The sequence below is a fragment of the Homo sapiens genome, chromosome 1, assembly GCF_000001405.40.
Source record: "Homo sapiens chromosome 1, GRCh38.p14 Primary Assembly".
Classification (NCBI taxonomy): domain Eukaryota; kingdom Metazoa; phylum Chordata; class Mammalia; order Primates; family Hominidae; genus Homo; species Homo sapiens.
Window position 1 is genome coordinate 101,346,654 of NC_000001.11, and position 20,569 is coordinate 101,367,222.

The 20,569-nt window shown below is 41.2% G+C and overlaps 1 long non-coding RNA gene across 1 annotated transcript in view, besides 2 other annotated features; it reads left to right on the top strand.

The window, feature by feature from the left end:
- LINC01307 (long intergenic non-protein coding RNA 1307) overlaps nucleotides 1-20,569 on the top strand; it is a 53,477-nt gene that overhangs the window by 22,817 nt on the left and 10,091 nt on the right. The window contains exon 4 of the long non-coding RNA NR_126402.1: nucleotides 3,394-3,532. This is a non-coding gene — a long non-coding RNA (long intergenic non-protein coding RNA 1307). The remainder of the gene's footprint in view (nucleotides 1-3,393; nucleotides 3,533-20,569) is intronic.
- Nucleotides 17,368-17,437: an enhancer, noted in NCBI's record as "active region_1401". NCBI's record gives its function as "activates an Ori minimal core promoter by ATAC-STARR-seq in GM12878 lymphoblastoid cells {active_cell/tissue: GM12878}" and the evidence as "EXISTENCE:reporter gene assay evidence [ECO:0000049][PMID:35858748]".
- Nucleotides 17,868-17,967: a silencer, noted in NCBI's record as "silent region_1125". NCBI's record gives its function as "represses an Ori minimal core promoter by ATAC-STARR-seq in GM12878 lymphoblastoid cells {active_cell/tissue: GM12878}" and the evidence as "EXISTENCE:reporter gene assay evidence [ECO:0000049][PMID:35858748]".

Sequence of the window (20,569 nt, forward strand, 5' to 3'; positions counted from 1 at the left end):
CTATTTGGATGCCTTTTATTACCCTTTTTTTTTCTTTTGCCTGATTACTGTGGCTAGTACTTCCATTACTATGTGGACTAGGAGTGGTGGGAATGGGCATCCTTGTCTTGTTTCAGTTCTCAAGGGGAATGCTTCTAGTTTTTGCCCATTCGGTACAATGTTGGCTGTGGGTTTGTCATAGATGACTCTTACTATTTTATGGTATGTTCCTCTGATTCCTAGATTCTTGAGGATTTTTATCATGAAGAATGTTGGATTTTATCAAAAGCTTTTTCTGCATCTATTGAGATGACAATATGGTTTTGTTTTTAATTCTGTTTATGTGGTGAATCACATTTATTGATTTGTATATGTTGAACCAACCTTATATCACAGGAATGAAGCCTACTTGATCATGCTGAATTAACTTTCTGATGTGCTGCTGGATTTGGTTTGCTCATATTTGTTGAGGATTTTTGCATCTGTGTTCATTAGGGATATTGGTCTGTAGTTTCCTTTTTTTGTTTTGTCTTTGCCAGTTTAATATCAGAGTGATGCCGGCTTCACAGAATGAGTTAGGTAGGAGTCCTCCCTTCTTGATTTTTTGGAATGGTTTCCGTAGAATTGGTACCAGTTCTTCTTTGTACATCCAGTAGAATTTGGCTGTGAATCCATCTGGTCCAAAGCATTTTTTGGTTGGTAGGTTTTTTATTACTTATTCAATTCTGGAACTCAATATTGGGCTGTTCAGGGTTTCAATTTCTTCCTGATTCAATTCTGAGAGACTGTGTGTTTCCTGGAATTTACACATTTCCTCTAGATTTTCTAGTTTGTATAAGTAGAGGTGTTTATAATAGTCTCTGAGGATCCTTTTTATTTCTGTGGGATCAGTTATAATGTCACCTTTGTAATTTCTGATTGTGTTTTGTTGGATTTTCTCTCTTATATTTGTTTGTTAATATAGCTAGTGTTCTATCAATCCTGTTTATCCTTTTAAGGAACCAAATTTTAGTTTTGTTGTTTTTTTGTATGGATTTTTGTGTGCCAATTTCATTCAGTTTTGCTCTGATTTTAGTTATTTATTTTCTTCTTCTAGCTTTGGGGTTAGTTTGCTCTTGCTTTTGTAGTTCTTGTAGGTGTGATGTTAGATTGTTGATTTGAGATCTTTCTAGCTTTTTGAGGTGGGTGTTTAGCACTATAAACTTTCCTCTGAACACTGCTTTTGCTGCATCCCATAGATTTTAGTATGTTGTGTCTATGTTTTCATTTATTTCAAATAATTTTTTTCTGCCTTGATTTAATTGTTTACCCAAAAGTCTTTCAGGGGAAAGCTGTTTAATTCCCACGTAATTGTGTGGTTTTGAGAGATCATTTTGGTATCATTTTCTGTCTTTATTTCACTGTGATTTGAGAGTATGGCTGGTGTGCTTTCAATTTTTTTGAATTTATTGGGACTTGTTTTATGGCTAAGCATGTGGTCTATCTTAGAGTATGTTCTGTGTGCCAATGAGAAGAATGTATAATTTGTGATTGATGGGTGGAGTATTCAGTAGACGTGTATTAGGTCCAGTTGGTCAAGAGTTGAGTTTAAGTGAAGATTTTCTTTGTTAGTTTTCTTGCTCAGTGAGCTCTCTAATGTCAGTGGGGTATTGAAGTATCCCACTATTATTGTGTGACTAAGTCTTTTTGTAGATCTACAAGCATTTTTTGAAATGAATTTGGGTTCTTCAGTGTTTAGTACATATACGTTTAGGATAGTTAAATCTTGTTGAATTGAATCTTTATCAATATGTAATGTTCTTCTTTGTGCTTTTTCTGTTGGTGGTTTAAAGTCTGTTTTATCTGATATAAGAACAGTGACCTCCACCCTAAATGGAAAACAAAAAAGAGCAGAGGTCACTATTCTTATATCAGATAAAACAGACTTTAAACCAACAACAGTGAATCCTTTACTTTCAGCCTGTGGTTATCAGTAAGTGTGAGATGGATCTCTTGAAGACAGTAGACCGATGGGTCTTGTTTTTTTTTTTTTTTCTTTTTTCTCTAATCTGCTAGTGTGTGCTTTTTAAGTCAAACTTCCAGTCTTCTAAGATGCTATCCTCCTAGTTACCCTTGGTGCTTTGCTCCTCACTTCTCCTATACTGCTGTGATAATGTCTCACCTTTCTCTCAACACTCTGAATCACACTCCATGTTGCTACCAGATTTATCTAAAAATAGAGCTGATTATACTTAGAACTTTGTTGGCTCTTTGATGTCCATTCACGAATTTATCCCAGCATCCTAGTTTAACCTGCAAATCTTTCATAGTCTGTTTCTGGCTTTCCTAGCAAAACAATTGCCTTACGGAGCATTGCATAAACCTCTGATTTTGCTTCCCTAATCATTTTGCTAGTCTTGTTTTGACACACTAAACTTTCAATTATTTGCCCTTATTAACATTCTTTTTTCTGTTTACTATGTTCTGAACTCCTTTTCTACCTAGCAAATTCCTCCTCATACTTCAATGCAAAGCCAGTGTCACCTCTGTGTAAAGCCTTTTCTGACACCTTCAGGGAGAGCTAGGTATTCCCTTTCTTATGTTCATATAACAGCTTATATATATATCTTTATTATTGCACTTATTAGATAGCATAGAAGTTATTTCTTTACTCTTCCCCCCTTTTCTAGCCATTGAGATCTTCAGGAGCCAGACTTTGCCAAATGTATTTTTTCTCTTTCCACCTTACTAGCGTGTTACATATAAATGCTCAATTAGGCCAAGTGTAGTGGCTCATTTCTGTAGTCCCAGCTCTTTGGGAGGCCAAGGCGGGAGACTCACTTGAAGCCAAGAGTTCAAGACCAGCCTGGGCAACATAGTATGACTCCGTCTCTAGGTAGGTGTGCTGATGTGTGCCTATAGTCCCAGCTTGAAGCCTGTAGTCTTCAGCCTCAGGGGGCTGAAGCAGGAGGATCACTTGAGCCCAGGAGCTCAACACTGCAGTGAACTGAGATCAAGCCACTGTACTCCAGCCTGAGTGACAGAGGGAGACCTTGACTGTAAAACAAAACAAAACAAAACAAACTCCATATAAATGCTTAATTAATGTTAATAAAGGACAAATGATTCTTTTTGCTGGCAAGATGGAAAAATTTGGATTCATAGTTTGCTGAACAGTGATATCCAGAGTGTCTGGCTTAACAGATGATTGAGACCATGCTACCTGATCTTGTTGACTTCTTTTCCACATTGAGATTTCTATTTATCTTCAGCCAATCTTTCTACCACCATCTCAACTCACCGTAAAAAGTATCTCATTTCTTCTCCATTATTAACCCATGTATTTTTACTTTCATCTTGTATCCTTTTATTTTATTTTGGAAGCATATATATAACGTTTGCCCTTCCCATTCTTTCCGCCATCTCACTCCCCAGCTCCCACGTGAATCATTCAAGAGTTAAACAAGAGAAATGGTTCCTGTCAGTGCAGGTGATGAAAGAGATCATTACAACATAACTGAAGGTCAAGACAAGGATAAATACCAGCAAAATCATGTAAGAATGATGCTATCAGGTAAGCCATGATTGTGTAAGAAAAACCAATGAAAGTTCATTTTTCCAGGACAGTTAATTTTTTGCAGTATGGGAAAGGCTATGTGTTATAATAATTTTTAAGCTATTTAGGGAGAAACTGTAATCACTACTCTACCTTGGGACACCTTCATCCTACTATGAAGCACTGGAAATGGTGGTAGGTGAGATTGATTGTATTTTCATAAGCCATGCCAGAGGCTAAATGCCTTTGCAAGAGTGGGCTTAGAAGTTATGTCAAGGAAAAACATAGCAGCTTTGGAACTGAAGGACACTAGAGAATTCTGAGAAGAAACAGAAAGTTTAAAAGGCCATGGAACCAGATGAAAGGAGAAAGGGTAGTGTATATAGAGAAAGAAGTTCTCTGAGCTGGCCTACCCAATGCCTATCAGGGACTTCCTGGAAGTCTGGCTATTGATACATTTGCTCTTTCATGCTGCAGTGAGATAAACTAGTTAATTAGAGGCTCAACATCCAGTGTTCAACTTAAAAATATATATATATTTATGTATAATATATATAAGTATAACATATATAAATTATATATATTATATATTATATAAATATATACAAATTATATACATTATATGAAATATTATATATAATATATTATATATTATATATTCTATATATAGAATATATTATATATTATAGATATAATATGCATATATATACTTTTTTTGAGACAGAGTCTTGCTCTGTCGCCCAGGCTGGAGTGCAATGGTGCAATCTCGGCTCACTGCAACTTCTGCCTTCTGGGTTCAAGTGATTCTTTTGCTTCAGCCTCCTGAGTAGCTGGGATTACAGGTGCCCGCCACCACGCCTGCATAATTTTTGTATTTTTAGTAGAGTCGAGGTTTCACCATGTTGCCAGGTTGGCTTTGAACTCCTGACCTCGTGATCTGCCCACCCAGGCCTCCCAAAGTGCTGGGATTACATGCATGAGCACTTTGCCTTGCCTAAAATAATTTTTATCATGTTAAACATATATAAAATAATATTTTTCATTCTAATCATTTTTAAGTGTACAGTTCAGTGGGACTAATTACCTTTACAATGTTATGCAATCATCAGCACTATGTCCAAAACTTTTTCATCAACTGAAACAGAAACTCTATAACCATTAAGCAGTAATTCCCCTATTTTCCATCTAGCCCCTGGTAATGTCCAATTTTATTTCTGTCTCTTTTAATTTGCCTATTCTAGCTACCTCATGTAAATGGAACCATACAATATTTGTCCTTTTGTGTTTGGCATATTTCACTCAGCATGTCTTCAAAGTTCCTCCACGTTGTAAAATGTATCAAAAAACTTACTTCCTTTTTAAGGCAGAATAATATTTCATTGTATGTATATAATACATTTTGTTTATTCATTTATCTAGTGACCATTGCCCAACTTTATAATTCCCCCACATGTAGTATCTTATTACTGGTATCTCTGAGGACAAAGCTCTCTGAGCCTTCTGGGTAATTCTGTATGTGTGTGTTCTTTCTAGTAGGAAGGTGGGAACACAAGATGCCATCTCTCTGCCTCTCACTTTATTTCAGTGTGGGTGTTGGATGGCAGTGTGAGCATCCACTCATGAAGATCACTTGACAAGAGACACAGATGGTTTTCTGTCTTTCCTCCCTTCTTTCCTAACAGGCACTTCCTGTGGCCCCAAGTGGAGGAGTCTATTGCCTGGTTTGCCTCTCTTTCAACTCTCCCTCTGTCCCCACTTATCCCTTGCTCCTGGCATCCTGTCTCTGCTCTGTGCTAAGTGATTTATCAGAAGTCACCTCATTTGCTTTTCTTTCTTTTTCTTTCTTTCTTTCTTTCTTTCTTTCTTTCTTTCTTTCTTTCTTTCTTTCTTTCTTTCTTTCTTTCTTCTTTCTTATCTTTCTATCTTTCTTTCTTTCCTTTTTCTGAGATGGAGTTTCACTCTTGTTGCCCAGGCTGGAGTGCAATGGCACAATCTCAGCTCACTGAAACCTCTGCCTTCTATGTTCAAGCGATTCTCTTGCCTCAGCCTCCCAACTAGCTGGGATTACAGGGATGTGCCACTATGGCTGGCTAATTTTGTATTTTTAGTAGAGACAGGGTTTTACCATGTTGGTCAGGCTGGTCTTGAACTCCTGACCCCAGATGATCCACCTGCCTTGGCCTCCGAAAGTGTTGGGATTACAGGTGTGAGCCACTGCGTCGGGCCTCATTTACTTCTTAAAGCACCCTCTCTGACGTGTAAGTATCAAGTCCAGGTCAAGACATTTGCTTTCTGCCCCATCGTTTTACTTCGAAAACTCTTTTGAAGGTCACTAATAAAAGAGGTCATTCTGTCCAATGGCATTTTCTTGATCTTCATCCTTGTCTTTCTGTCTAGAGTATGAGACCTCACTTACACCAACCCTTGGAAACATTTTCCTTGTTATCTGTATATCCTAACCCTTACCAAGCTATAATCGCAACAATAACCTTTTATATTTGAATTATTATGCTTACCTGTAGGAATTCTAGTGTTTCACTGAATTTTCTTTCCCAACATCTTTGGAAATTTCCAGGGAATTATTTTATGTTTCATAGATTTTTATTCTGTCATATAAATTCTGTTTTATTCTGTCGTGTAATACGACATTTATATGACTAAATAAAATCATTTGTTTTTATAAGCATTTTATGCTTATGTTTAAAACATTTTTAATGTTTTAAAAACATATAAATGTTTAAAATCATTTATATGTTTTTATAAGCCTGCCACCTCAAATAACACAGTTGTATCAATTTCTGTACGTGTCTTCTTGCCATCTCGAGTTGGTTTACCCCAGGCTACTGCCTTTTTCCATATCCTGTTTTCTTGCCTCATTACCAGACTGCTGCCTCCACTGCCAGTGACCTTGGTGACATTCCATTTTCCTGAGCACCTATGTATCCTGCTGGTAACTCCTATTTACTCATTTAATCAGCTTCAGGGAGGAGATCCTTCTTCTCTTAACTGTGTCCCCTCTAAAACATGGGGCAGATCCTTCAATTACTACTAAAAATGACTTCTTGTGTCGTCCAAATGTAGGTCTAAGCTTGACCTCAGGAAACGTTACTGGGCTGGCACTTGGGGAATACCTTGCCCCATAAGGAGGGCTCCTGCAGAAATGTACACCCTTCACCGATGTCAAACAGTGCCTTCACTCAGGACTCTAACTCCACTTTTGTCTGTACCTCTCTGCTTTGCTATTTGGTTTTATTGGCTCAGGCTTATACATGGGCAGGGGATGTGTCCATGTGTCCACTGGCTCTTTCAGGGCCACATTCTTACAACACAGAGCACGAGGAGAAAAGCTTCTCTATTCTAGTTCCAGTTTTATAAAAGACCTCAGGGAAAGACTGATACTGGCTTGGCTTGGGTCATGAGCCCACCTGAGCTTCAGTCATTGTGGTAAAGCCTTGAGGCACTGTAATTAATTTAACTGGGTAGGAACCAGCCTGTGATTTGGAGGATGGGGAATTTCATCAAAACAAAGGGATGTGGAATCCTTCTGAGCTAGGTGCTCCTTCCAGTTTTTATCCATAACATCATGCAGAACAAAGGCCACCCCAAAATGATGCCTTAGAAAGCAGACCCAGCTGCCAAGTTTTAGAATGACTATTACAGTTTAGTTTCCATGGACTTCATATGAGAGCCACTTGTTTTTCTTCCTTCTTCTCTCTATCTCTCCTTCCTTTCTTCTGTTTATTTATTTTAAAAACTGTTCTTCATCTTTCTTCTTTTGTAATATTTCTACTTTCCATTTTCTAAAAGCAAGATTATTTCCCAGCTTCTCCTACTTCTGTATCTTTTTGCTCTTTGAACTCTATCTCAAGCCTAACCTTTGCACAGCTAATTAAATATATCCAGTTTTGACATTATCCCTGAGCCCCAAATAGACGTTTCTAGGTGTTTACTTGAAATCTCCACCCAAATGTCTCTTTGAATTCAGTATTATCAGAGCTACTTTTTTTTTTTTTTTTTTTTTTTTGAGACGGAGTCTTGCTCTATAGCCAAGGCTGGAGTGCAGTGGCGCGATCTCGGCTCACTGCAACCTCCGCCCCCGGGTTCATGCCATTATCCTGCCTCAGCCTCCCGAGTAGCTGGGACTACAGGCGCCCGCCACAATGCCTGGCTAATTTTTTTGTATTTTTAGTAGAGACGGGGTTTTACCCTGTTAGCCAGGATGATCTTGATCTCCTGACCTCGTGATCCGCCTGCCTTGGCCTCCCAAAGTGCTGGGATTACAGGCGTGAGCCACCACGCCCAGCCTATCAGAGCTACTTTTTTAGTTATAGACACCTGTGGCAAAATTGTATATTCTGGGGCTTCCAAAACTATGTTGCAGGAAAGATATGACCTTTTTGCAAACTTACCTCTAGACCTGAACCAATGAAAATCCCTTGCCCCCTCTGTGTTTTGTACTTTTGCCTGATCCTGGGATTGGGGCTTTCACACCTTGCTTTGCCCATGGCTTTGCGCCCCGAGTGCAGGCTCTTAACCTTGTCTCCTGTTGGTTCCCTCTTTCTGCCTTTGCCCACAACTCCCAGCAACGGCGACCTTCAAGTCATCACCCGAAAATGTTTGGTGATAGCTTTAGTCAAGATTACTGTAGAGGGAATTCTTGCACAGAGCAGAAGTTTGTACTAAATCTCTTTTAAGATTCCCACCAGTTTTAGGGATTGGTGATTTTATAGGATAAAATGTTTAGTGTTTTCTTATATGGCCATATTCCCTTGATTGAGCTGAAAGTCTTTGTCATTTATATATGTTTGGAGCTGATGTTAAATTTTCTTTATGGATTTGCTTGAAACAAATGGGTCATTACTTGCAGCTTGGATAGTTTTTGGCTTCCATGGATTATTCTGGCTTTGCTATTTGTTTTGGTGGAGAAAAACTCCTAATTAGCTCTGTAGCGGAAACTGCCAGTTTTCTCCCATTCCTCCGTAGTAATAGGCTTTTCAGCTGACACATAGCAGCCTCCTTGACCTCTCAGCCTCCTTGGAGCTGAGTGACTGAATTCTAAATATGAAGGAAGTGAGAGCTGTACAACTCTTGTGTGTCCTAAGCGGGAGGTGGCTTACCCTTCTTCTGTGCTTTTCCCTTTCTCCGATGGCTGCAATGCAGATATGGGAGCAGGCCCCTTGGACTTTAGAGACTAGTGCAATACTCTAGGATAGACAAGTGACAACATAAAAGGGGCCTGGGTCCCTGCATGCAGAGCTACTACCACCTGACTCCAGTTTGTGAGAGAAAAACTTTAACCTTGTTGAAGCCACTATTATTTTGGATAATAATAGGTCTTATCATTTAAAACTGTATCCTAAAAAAAATACAAGTTTGCATTTTCTCATAATCCTGTAGTCAAACCTTTATCTTCTGTGTATCATATTGGTTATTGCTATTTAGATAAGTAAACCAATAGAGCTATATATGGAAAGTGGATTAGACTGAGGGGCCCTGGAGCCTGGACAAACACAGATTTTAGAATGCAGGAGCCAGGCTTGAATAAAGGAGACAAGAAAAGGGAGCTAGCATTTACTGAGCATCTACTATATACCAAGTACTATGTCAGCGGCTTTACATATGACACCTCATTTAATTCTAAAGTTTACTACTGTTATCCTCATTTTGTAGCTAAGGAAACTGAGTTAGCAAGGAGAATTTGGCCAGTGGCCAGTAAGGGTGGAACCGGAATTTAGCTGCAGTTCTGATCCCCAAACCTAGCTCTTCTCCCTGTATGCTCGAAGAGAGGGTGGAGGGAGATCTTGAGGGTGGTGAAGAGCTGGAGGGAGGACATCCCAGCGGTCACCAGTGGGGAGCCTCCTGGGGAAAATGGCACAAATGACTTTGTTAAAAATTGTAAATTGACACTTTATAATTGTATACATTTATGGGGTAAAACATATTATGATTTTTGAATTCAATGTGGAATAATTAAATCAAGCCAATTAATGTATCTATTGATGCAAATTTTTTGTGTGTGTGTGCAGTAAAAGCCTTTGAAATTTACTCTGTCAGCAATTTTGAAATGTATAATACACTCTTATTAACTATATTCACCACACTATGCATTAGATTAAAAAAAAAAAAACAAACTTATTACTCCTGTCTGAGATTTTGCACCCTTTGGCTATAATCTCCCCATTCCCACACCCTCTTCAGCCGCCACACTCCGCGCCTTTGTAATCACCATTCTACTCTCTGCTTCTTTGAGTTTCATTGTTTTAGATTCCCCATATGAATGAGAACATGAAATATTTGTGTTGTTTTTCTCTGCCTGACTTATTTCACTCTCTAATTACATCCATATTTTTGAAAATGACAGAATTTCCTTATTTTACAAGGCTAAATAGTATTTCATTGTGTATTTACCACATCTGCTTTATCTATTCATCTGTTTTTGGACACCTAGGTTAATTCTATAACTTGGCTATTGTGAATAGTGTTGCAATGAACATGAGTGTGCAGAGACCTCTTCAAAAAACCGACTTCAATTTTGGGTAAATACTCGGAAGTGGGATTGTTGGATCACCTGGTAATTCTAATTTTAGTTTTTTGAGGAACCTCCATACGTTTTTCCATAAGGGCTGTTTACATTCCCACTAACAGTATACAATGGTTCCCTTTTTTCCACATTCTCAGCAGCACTTGTTATCTTTTGCCTGTTTTGATAATAGCAATTCTGACAGGTATGAGGTGATTTCTCATTGTGGTTTTAGTTTGCACTTTCCTAATGATTAGTGATGTTGAGCATTTTTAAATATATCTTTTGGCCATTTGTATGTCTTCTTTTGAGAAATGTCTATTGCAGTCCCTTGCCTATTTTTTAATTTTTTTTTTTTTTTTGCTATTGAGCTGTTCGAGTTTCCGATATATTTTGAATACTAACCCCTTATCAGATGTATGGCTTGCAAATATTTCCCCCCAACCAGTAGATTGTATCTTCACACTGTTGTTTCTTTGCTGTGCAGAAGCCTTTTAGTTGGATGTAGTTTTAGTTTGACTTGTGACTAAAGGATGCACCTGAGGATGTCAGAATGTACATCTTCCAGCAGGAGTCAGGGAACTGAATTTAAGTTAGGAGAGTCAAGGAGCCTGGATCCTGTCTTTAGGTCCTGGTTCACATTCAGTAGGAGAGGAGTCTCTTTTAAGTTCAATGAAGGCAGATGAGGCTCAAACATTCCTTTATGCAGATCCTTAAAAGAGGGGGGCATAAAAACAGAGAGAGAAAAGCCTGCATTTGGAAGTCTGATACAGAGCAATATTCATTCCCACACTAGACTGAGGGAGAAACTCTCACAAATCTGATATCATCATCTTTTAAACCAGGAGTAGGGGAGAAGCTGTCAGAGAACAGTGCCACCATGTGGCAGAGTAAAGAATAGCAATAGTTGGGACAATAGACCAGCCAATAGGAGTCTGCAGTAGCTTGCAGGAGACTGGGGTTTTGGGGACAGGAGGCAAGCTGGAGGTGAAAGCATGATGGATAAAGCCTTTTTTTTTTTTTCAGTACAATACTAATGAAGGGTCACTGTGGCCTGGGAAAATAGCATTATATTGGGATAGTTACCCGAGCCTTTAGTTATTTCCAAGCCTGGGAAAGGGAAGGTTACTTGCAGAAACTGGAGATTGTAGAAGCACATTCTTTTTTTTTTTTTTTTTTTTTTTTTTTTTAAGACTGAGTCTCATTCTGTCCCACAGGCTGGAGTGCAGTGGCGTGATCTCGGCCCACTGCAACTTCTGCCTCCCGGGTTCAAGCAATTCTCCTGTCTCAGCCTCCCAAGTAGCTGGGATTACAGGTGCCTGCCACTACGCCTGGCTAATTTTTTTTGTAGTTTTACTAGAGGCAGGGTTCCTTCATGTTGGCCGGGCTGGTTTAGAACTCCTGACCTTAAGGGATCCTCCCGCCTCGGCCTCGCAAAGAGCTAGGATTACAGGTATGAGCCACCACGGGAAGAGCATTCTTTAGACAACCAGGAAAACTTGAATTTAGTGTTTATCCTTAACTGAGCTTTGTGGATCATGACTAACAATCGCCAATAGCTTGGGAAGTTTAAGAAGGACTTTTTGCGTTTAGGAAGTAGAGAGGGCAGAGATAAACAAAGGAACCAGAAACGGAGCATTGGGTTCCAGGAGGCACAAGAGGCAGCAGAAGTGACTGAACATTGATATCTTGAGCTCAAGAGCTCTAAATAAGCCCAGGCAGTTCAAAGCCGGGCTCTAACTGTGGCTGAAATTGCTGACCTGCGTATAGTTTATAATCTTTTATAACCTCACACTCTAGGAAAGTAATCTTGTGATTTTATCACAGCCAAAATGAACATTTTGTCTCATTGCTTTATACCTGAGGACAAAAGAACTAAGGCATTACATTAGAGATGTCAATCATGGAGGCTGCCGGCCCTCTGTCCTTCCTCAGTGAAACAGACCTGTGCGTAGCCACTGCTGAGCAGACTTTCCTGTGCTGCCAGGGCCATTCTGTTCTCCTCCCTTCCTTGCCTACTTTGTAACTATTATTTGGACAGAGACGAGCACTTGATCCACAATTAGCTAGTGACATATTAGATTATTGACTTGACATTAGACAGAGGTTGCCATCCAGTTGTATTTCTTCTTTCAGGTGTTTGAAATGGAAAATACTGAGAATATTAGATAGTCGGTGACTGTAGCTGAAGCTGAAAGTATGCATAGAGGCTCCATGTGGGGTTATGAAGAGAGGACAAGCAGGAGCTGGCAAAGATATCCTGCCAGAGACTATATCGCCGAGAGGAAAGTGCTAGAGAAAATTGACGATCACTAGAATTGCCTTAGTTTCTGATGGCTTCCTGGTTCCAGGTCCAGTTCTAGTTCTGCTCTGCTCCACATCTGTGCTTACAAACAAACTCATCTTTTGAGGTCAATTGAATGTCTTTTCCTTGCAATGGATGTATTAGTCAGGATTTTCTAGAGGGACAGAACTAGTAGGATATATATATACACAAAGAGGAGTTTATTAAGTATTAACTCACAGGATCACAAGGTCCCACAATAGGTTATCTGCAAGCTGAGAGGCAAGGAGGGCCAGTCCATGTCCCAAAACTGAAGAACTTGGAGTCTGATGTTTGAGGGCAGGAAGCATCCAGCACAGGAGAAGATGTAGGCTGAGAGGCTAGGTCCGTCTCTCCTTTTCATGTTTTTCTGCCTGCTTTATATTCACTGGCAGCTGATTAGATTGTGCTCACCAGATTAAGGGTGGATCTGCCTTTCCCAACTCACTGACTCAAATGTTAATCTCCTTTGGCAACACCCTTACGGACACACCCAGGAGCAATACTTTGTATCCTTCAATCTAATCAAGTTGACACTCAGTACTAACCATCACAAGTCCACCCTTTGTCGACTTGAACCTATATGCATCTCCTGAGGTCATGCATAATCTTCAAATAAAGACAATAATAAGGTCATAATTATGCCTAACATAATACAACTATCCTTTGTACAACCAGAAACACACCAATCCCCAACCCAAATACTATTACATAAAGTTAACAATACTTAAATGCTGATATGAAGTTAATAAATCTTATGTCACATGATAAAAGAAAAGGAAATAAAATAAAGATTTTTTTCTTAGTACAAGTGTATATATACATGCACAAACATGTTTTTAGCAAAAGAAGGGGTAAATAGTCATGACAATTACAGTCCTCATTTCTGCAGCTGGTCACATGGTCGTAGCTGGTATTGATAACTACCTTCTTCTACTACTTCTGTATTCCCTTTGCCTTCAATTAGCACCTCAGCAGGTTGTGGTTTTTGTACTGGTGGAGTGACCCAAACCTTCATTCCTGAGGGGTCTGGGCCTTTTATAGTCCTGCCTGGATCGCGCTGTTGTAGTTTCCCATTGACCTTAATCTCAGGGCATGGTAATACTAACGGATGCCCTAATGGGATCTCCTGTACTCCATGCATCCTCTTCCTTACCTCCATTGTGGAGTAGTAGACTGATTTCATCTTGATAGTCTGGGTCAATCACCCCAGCCAACACTGTAACTCCTTTCTTAGCCTGTTGACTTAAAGGTAGGAGGGTCCCAAAGTGTCCAGGTGGTAATCTTAACTTCTAGTTAAATGGAATTGTTGTTGTGTCTCCTGGTGGCAGCGTTCCTCCCTCTAGAACTAAGACCTCTAGGCCAGCAGAACGTAAGATCACGGGAGCAGGAAGCAAAAATGTTGCTAGTTGATCACTAGGGGTGATGGTGAGTGGTGCCACTTCCACCACTTGATTTCTGGACCTGTGAATCTTGGCAATGGGAGAAACAGTACCATATGTTGGATGCTGATTCAGAGCATGCACAGCCTTCTGGAGAACTTTGCCCCAGCCCTGCAAAGTATTGTCATCTAGTAAGCATTGTAATTGTGACTTCAAAAGGCCATTCTACCGTTCTGTGAATCCAGCTGCTTCAGAATCATGAGGAACATGGTAAGACCAGTGAATTCCATGAGCATGATTCCACTGCCATGCTTCTTTAGCCACTTAAGTGAGTGCCTTGGTCAGAGACAATGCTGTGTGGAATACCATGACAGTGAACAAGGCATTCCATGAGTCCACGGATTGTAGCCTTGGCAGAAGCATTGCATGGAGGATGGGCAAACCCATATCTGAAGTAAGTGTCTATTCCAGCGAGGACAAACCTCTGCCCTTTCCATGATGAGAGAGGTCTAGCATAATCAACCTGCCACCAGGTAGCTGCCTGATCACCCCAAGGAATGGTGCCATGTTGAGGGCTCAGTGTTGGTCTCTGCTGCTGGCAAATTGGGCACTCAGCAGTGGCTGTAGCCAGGTCAGCCTTCATGAGTGGAAGTTCATGTTGCTGAGTCCATGTGTAATCTCCATCCCTGCTACCATGGCTACTTTGCTCATGGGTCCATTGAGTGATGACAGGGGAAAGAGGCTGAGTGGTGTCCACAGAGTGGGGCATCCCATGCACTTGATTATTAAACTCCTCCTCTGCTGAGGCCACCCGTTGGTGCATGTGGCATGCACTCACATGGCATACAAGTATCTTCACAGTTTTTGCCCACTCAGAGGGGTCCAGCCACATACCTCTTCCCCAGATTTCTTTGTCACCAATTTTCCAATCATGCTTCTTCCAAGTCCCTGACCATCCAGTCAAATCATTGGCTATTGACCATGAATCAGTATATAATCACACATCTGGCCATTTATCCTTCCATGAAAATTGCCCAACCAAGTTCTGCCCACTGGGAAGATTTCCCTTCACCGTTGTCCTTCAGGGATGTCCTAGAAAGGGGCTGTAGTGCTGCAGCTGTCCACTTTCAGGTGGTGCCTGCATATTGTGCAGAACCATCTGTGAACCAGACCCTAGTCTTCTCTTCCTCTGTCAACTGATCATAGGGAACTTCCCATGATTCCATCTGTGCAGGCTGGGGGAGAGAAGGCAGGGTGGCAGGAGTGGAGAACATGGGCATTTGAGCCACTTCCTTATGTAACTTACTTGTGCCTTCAGGACCTGCCCAAAACTGATCACATATATACCACTTCCATTTGGTGATGGAATGCTGCTGTGCATGACCCACTTTATGGCTAGATGGATCAGAAAGCTCCCAGTTCATGATAGGCAGTTCAGGTCGCATGGTGACTTGATGACCCGTAGTCAAAAGTTCAGTTTCCACCGAAGCCCAGTAACAGGCCAAGAGCTGTGTCTCAAAAGGAGAGTAGTTATCTGCAGAAGATGGCAGGGCCTTGCTCCAAAATCCTAGATGCTTCTGTTGAGATTCACCTATGGGAGCCTGCTAAAGGCTCCAAACAGCAACCCTATCTGCCACTGACACCTCAAGCACCATTGGATTTGCTGGGTCTTATGGCCCAAGTGGCAGAGCAGCTTGCACAGCAGCCCGGACCTGTTGCAGAGCCTTCTTCTGTTCTGGATCCCACTCAAAACTGGTAGCCTTTCAGGTCACTTGATAAATAGGCCTGAGTAACACACCCAAATGAGGAATGTGTTGCCTCCAAAATCCAAATAGGCTCACTCAGCATTGTGCCTCTTTCTTGGTTGTAGGAGGAGCCAAATGCACAACTTATCCTTCACCTTAGAAGGAGTATCTAGACAGGCCCCACACCACTGGGCCCCTAGAACTTTTACTGAGGTAGAAGGTCCCTGGATTTTAGTCAGATTTATTTCCCATCTTCTGGCAAGCAAATGTTTCACCAATAAGTCTAGTGTGTTTGCTGCTTCTTGCTCACTGGATCCAATCAGCATAATGTCATCAATGTAACGGACCACTGTAATATCTGGCGGAAGTGAAAAGCGATCAAAGCCTCGCCGAATAAGGTTATGACATAAAGCTGGAACTTCCACATGGTGTTGAGCCTGCAGGTGCACAGAAGTCAAGAATTGAGTTTTGAGAACCTCCGCCTAGACTTCAGAAGATGTATGGAAACGCCTGTATACCCAGGCAAAAGTTTGCTGCAGGGGCAGGGCCCTCATGGAGAACCTCCACTAGGGCAGTGCAGAAGGGAAATGTGGCGTGAGTGCCCCCCACACAGAGTCCCCACTGGGGCACTGCCTAGTGGAGCTGTGAGAAGAGGGCTACCGTCCTGAGCCCAGAATGGTAGATCCACCAACAGCTTTCACCATGCTCCTGGAAAAGCCACAGACACTCAATGCCAGCCCGTGAAAGCAGCTGGGAGGGAGGCTGTACCCTGCAAAGTCACAAAGGTGGAGATGCCCAAGACCAGAGGAAAGTTTTTGCATCAGCGTGACCTGGATATTAGAGCTGGAGTCAAAGGAGATCGTTTTGGAGCTTTAAAATTTGCCCCAATCGATTTCAGACTTGCATGGGCCCTGTAACCCCTTTGTTTTGGCTAATTTCTCCCATTTGGAACTTCTGTATTTACCCAATACCTATACCCTCATTGTGTCCAGGAAGTAACTAGCTTGCTTTTGATTTTACAGGCTCATAGGTGAAAGGGACTTGACTTGTCTCAGGTAAGCCTTTGGACTGTGGACTTTTGGATTAATGCTGAAATGAGTTAAGACTTTGGGGGACTGCTGGGAAGGCATGATTGGTTTTGAAAGGTGAGGACATGAGATTTGGAGGGGCCAGGGGCAGAGTGATATGGTTTGGCCATGTTCCCACCCAAATCTCAACTTGAATTGTATCTCCTAGGATTCTCACATGTTGTGGGAGGGACCCAGGGGTAGGTAGTTGAATCATGGGGGTCAGTCTTTCCCATGCTAATTTCGTGATAGTGAATAAGTCTCACGAGATCTGATGGGTTTATCAGGGGTTTCTGCTTTTGCTTCTTTCTCATTTTCTCTTGCTGCCACCATGTAAGAAGTGCATTTCACTTCCTGCCATGATTCTGAGGCCTTCCCAGTCATGTGGAACTGTAAGTCCAATTAAACCTCTTTTTGTTCCCAGTTTTGGGTAAGTCTTTATCAGCAGCATGTAAATGAACTAATACAATGGAAATAGCTGAGATCCAGCAGAGATAAGGGAAACACATGCCTTCCTGAGATCATAGACAAGGAAGGCCTCCAAGTCCTTGGATGGCGAGAGTGCAGGTCCCTCAAGTGGTCAACTGGACAGAGCTGAGAGTTTAAGGGCTGCAGACATGTCACAACTGTCATTTCATTTGCTCTTTATAATGACCTTAGAGGAGAGCAGAGCAGGCACTATTATTGTCTTCATTTTACTCATGAGAAAAGTGCCCAGGGTTTAATGAGTTATTCTGAGCCATGTGAATAACACTTGGCAGAGGTGTGACTTGAACCTAGGTATCCCCACTCAAATTGCCTGATTTTTCTCATTAGGCCAGGCCTCTTGTCCAGGGCTATGCATCAGAATCACCTGGGGTGCTTGTGATACTTGTGCTTGAGCCTCAGCCTTTGAGAGTCTGATTCAGTAAATCTGGGAGCTGGGCCTGAGCCCCTGTGTTTTTTCACTTTCTGTGGGTGAATGTGAGGAGCTTCCCTTGCTAAGCATCTGCCTCAGACAATGCAGGCTCAGCAGCACCTCCATTGTGGTGTTACCCCAAGCTGGCTTATAGCCTTCAGCCCTGAGGAAATGCCATATGATGGGGGAGAAGTGAAGAAACTACTTTTCACTCAGTATATTCAGTGTCTAAGGAAAGACTGGAACCATGGTAGTAGTCAAGGGACGATTTAGGGCCTTTTACCTTCACAATCTTCATGAATCGCCCATCCTTTGACAAAGACAATTAAAACAATGTTATGTATTATGTGTATTATATCCGTACAAAAATATAGTATCTTAAAAACTCATTTGGAACATATAATCCACCCCTAAACCATGGACCTGCTATGCAAATGTAGTTTCACAGCCAGTCCCACAGCTCCCTTTTCAGGTTGACTGTCACCACTAAACCCTTTCTCTAGATAAATCCTGGAGCTGTCAGGATGACTTATATGTGTTGCTGAAAGGGGAGTTATTTTAGTAGTGAGTGAAAAGACAGACAGCCTTAGAGAACTTCAGGGGTCTTCTGGTTGCAAGCCCTTGTTGATCTGGCACTAGGCTGGAGCTCCAGAGGCCAGGGGAACTGCTGGGTCAGGGGCTATAGAAGGACAGTATCTCCCTAGTTTCTCCTAAAAAGGAAAAGAGATGAGCTGTCTGATGCTGAAATGCAGTGTAATTGTAATAGGAAACTGCCCAAGCAGTGACAAAAAAGATCACAGGACATATAAGGAGATGGAAGGATTAAGGAAATTGTCCATTGGCTCTTTCTCCAAGTGCTCTGCTGATTTTTCCACTCTGTTGTCACCTGACCTCTCCTGTTGTGCAGCTCAGCATCTTAAATTGCAAAGCTGGCTTAGTCCCATGAAGGGTTTCCAACAAGATAAGTTTTTAGGAGGAAAAGGTAGACGTTAGGTGAGCAGGAAAAGGCCTCTAAGTCCCTCAACATTTGGGAAGTCCGTTTGTTTGGGTCCAGAGGGGGATAAGGAAGCTGAAAGGATGTCTACTCCATGGGAGACAGGAGACAGGACACAAGGTGACATTAGAAAAGGGAGGATGTCCTGCAGACGGAGCTTGGAGGGGATGCCAGGATGGAAGAGCCATAACAAGAATGTTAGTGTCAGAAAATAGGAATTTACTAAGACAAACATAACTCTTAGTTCTGAGTGTGAGCTCATGGAGGACCTAGAAGGAGATGCCAGCGTTTCAAAACCACAGTGGAAAAGCTGGATACCATAAGCCTGGGCTCGGAACCACATAGCTTTGGAAAGACAGCTTTGTGCTGTGTTTCTTGAGTTTGAGGGCTGGCCTCTGGGTTTTGCCCCATTCTCCTTGGAACTACACTTACCTCCTACTGTGCTGGGAATAAAAAACAAATGGTTAAAGAAAGAAACAATTTAGTCTCCACTACTGATTTTAAAAAAATAAATATCAAGTGACTGAGTGCTTTCTGAAGTTTAAAACTCTACCTTTACGTGGGTTAATAAGAACATTAGGACATAGCAAATGCTGCTTCCTGTGGGTCCTGCCTGATTGGAATTGAGTTTTTAAGTGGCCAAATCTGCTTGGGTTATTCTGCTTATGTAAGACATGACCCTGAAAGTGGATACATTGATATTTTAGTCTCAAGATGTATTTTTAATTCTCTAGTGATTGACTTATGCTTTGTCATTTACCAAGTACCCGGTATTAATAAATGGAATAAGTTGGACTAATGGTGCATCACTGAGGAATGGGGAGATCTGACTTCTTGGTAGGTAAAGACTTTTAATCCTTTTTTTTTTTTTTTTTTTTTTTTAAGATAGAGTTTCACTCTGTGGCTCAGGCTGGAGTGCAGTGGCGTGATCATGGGTCACTGTAGCCTTAAATTCCTGGGCCTTCTACATAGTTTGAAATATGCTTAGTAATTTCCCAAGGGGCATGTCATGTAGGTCAGATGGGAGGGTTCTCTTTCTGTGATTTTTTTTGAAGATTAATGTTTGTTTAACATGTTTGAGTTAGTATGCGATGACCAGGAACACAGAGAATCATTTGACCTTTAAAAGGTCAGGATGGAATAATGGCCTATTAAAGCAGTGGTATTTATCACTTTGAACAAAAAAGCATCAATGGAAAGATCCTATCGTCTCATAACTAGGGTAGATATTTCAAATTGTGTATGTTCAAAAACTGAAGCTACCTATTGAAGTGAAATTATACAAAGTCTGGAATTTTCTTTAGCATTTTCAAGCGAAATAGAAAAGGTGGAGGTAGACTAGATCAGCAAGATGATAATAACTGTGAAAGCTGTGTGACGGATAAACAGGGACTCATTATACTTTGTTCTCTATTTTTGTGTAATTAGATTTTTTTTCTATAATACATTTTTTTATAAAAAAGTCAGAAACTAGGGACCAGAGAACTAGATAGAATCTTTGGCAAACTCTAGAGTCCTAACCCAGGAGAGCACCCTGATTTCATAAAGGTGCTGGTGAATCATATGTAGCAGAAACATGTAATGACCAGGAGTCTAGGCTGTCCTAGACAGGAGAGTCAGAGATGGTGGCCTGGGCAGGAAGGCAGGCCTCAGAGAGAGAAGCCAAATATGCCAGGCTACAAGTGCTTATTGCAGTCTGACTGTCTTCAAACTGGTCCATTTTCAGTTAGAGTGGAGAAATTGAGGCTCATGGCCTGCATTTCTGTATTTTGCATGAGGGTGATTGTAATAATTATAATATAGTTCAAAATTAACTGTTTACATTTTTCTGTAGGAAAGCCTTCCTGGTATTTATTAGAGGACAAGTTAATCATCTGTAATTTTCCAGGCCAAAAAGGAAAATGATTCAAGGCAGATGGAATTTTGCCAGTGAGACAGCTTGGTTCTGCCCAACCAGACACCATCTCTTTTGAATAAGAGTTTATGATTTTTCTCACAGGGGAGCTTTGAAAGTTAGGGAGGTACTTAGAGGTGCTACTTTCCTTCTGTTGGGCTTCTAAAATAATAAAGAAACATCCTGGGAAACAGAAAGTTTATTAAAATGTCAGGGGCTTAAAGCAAAGTTA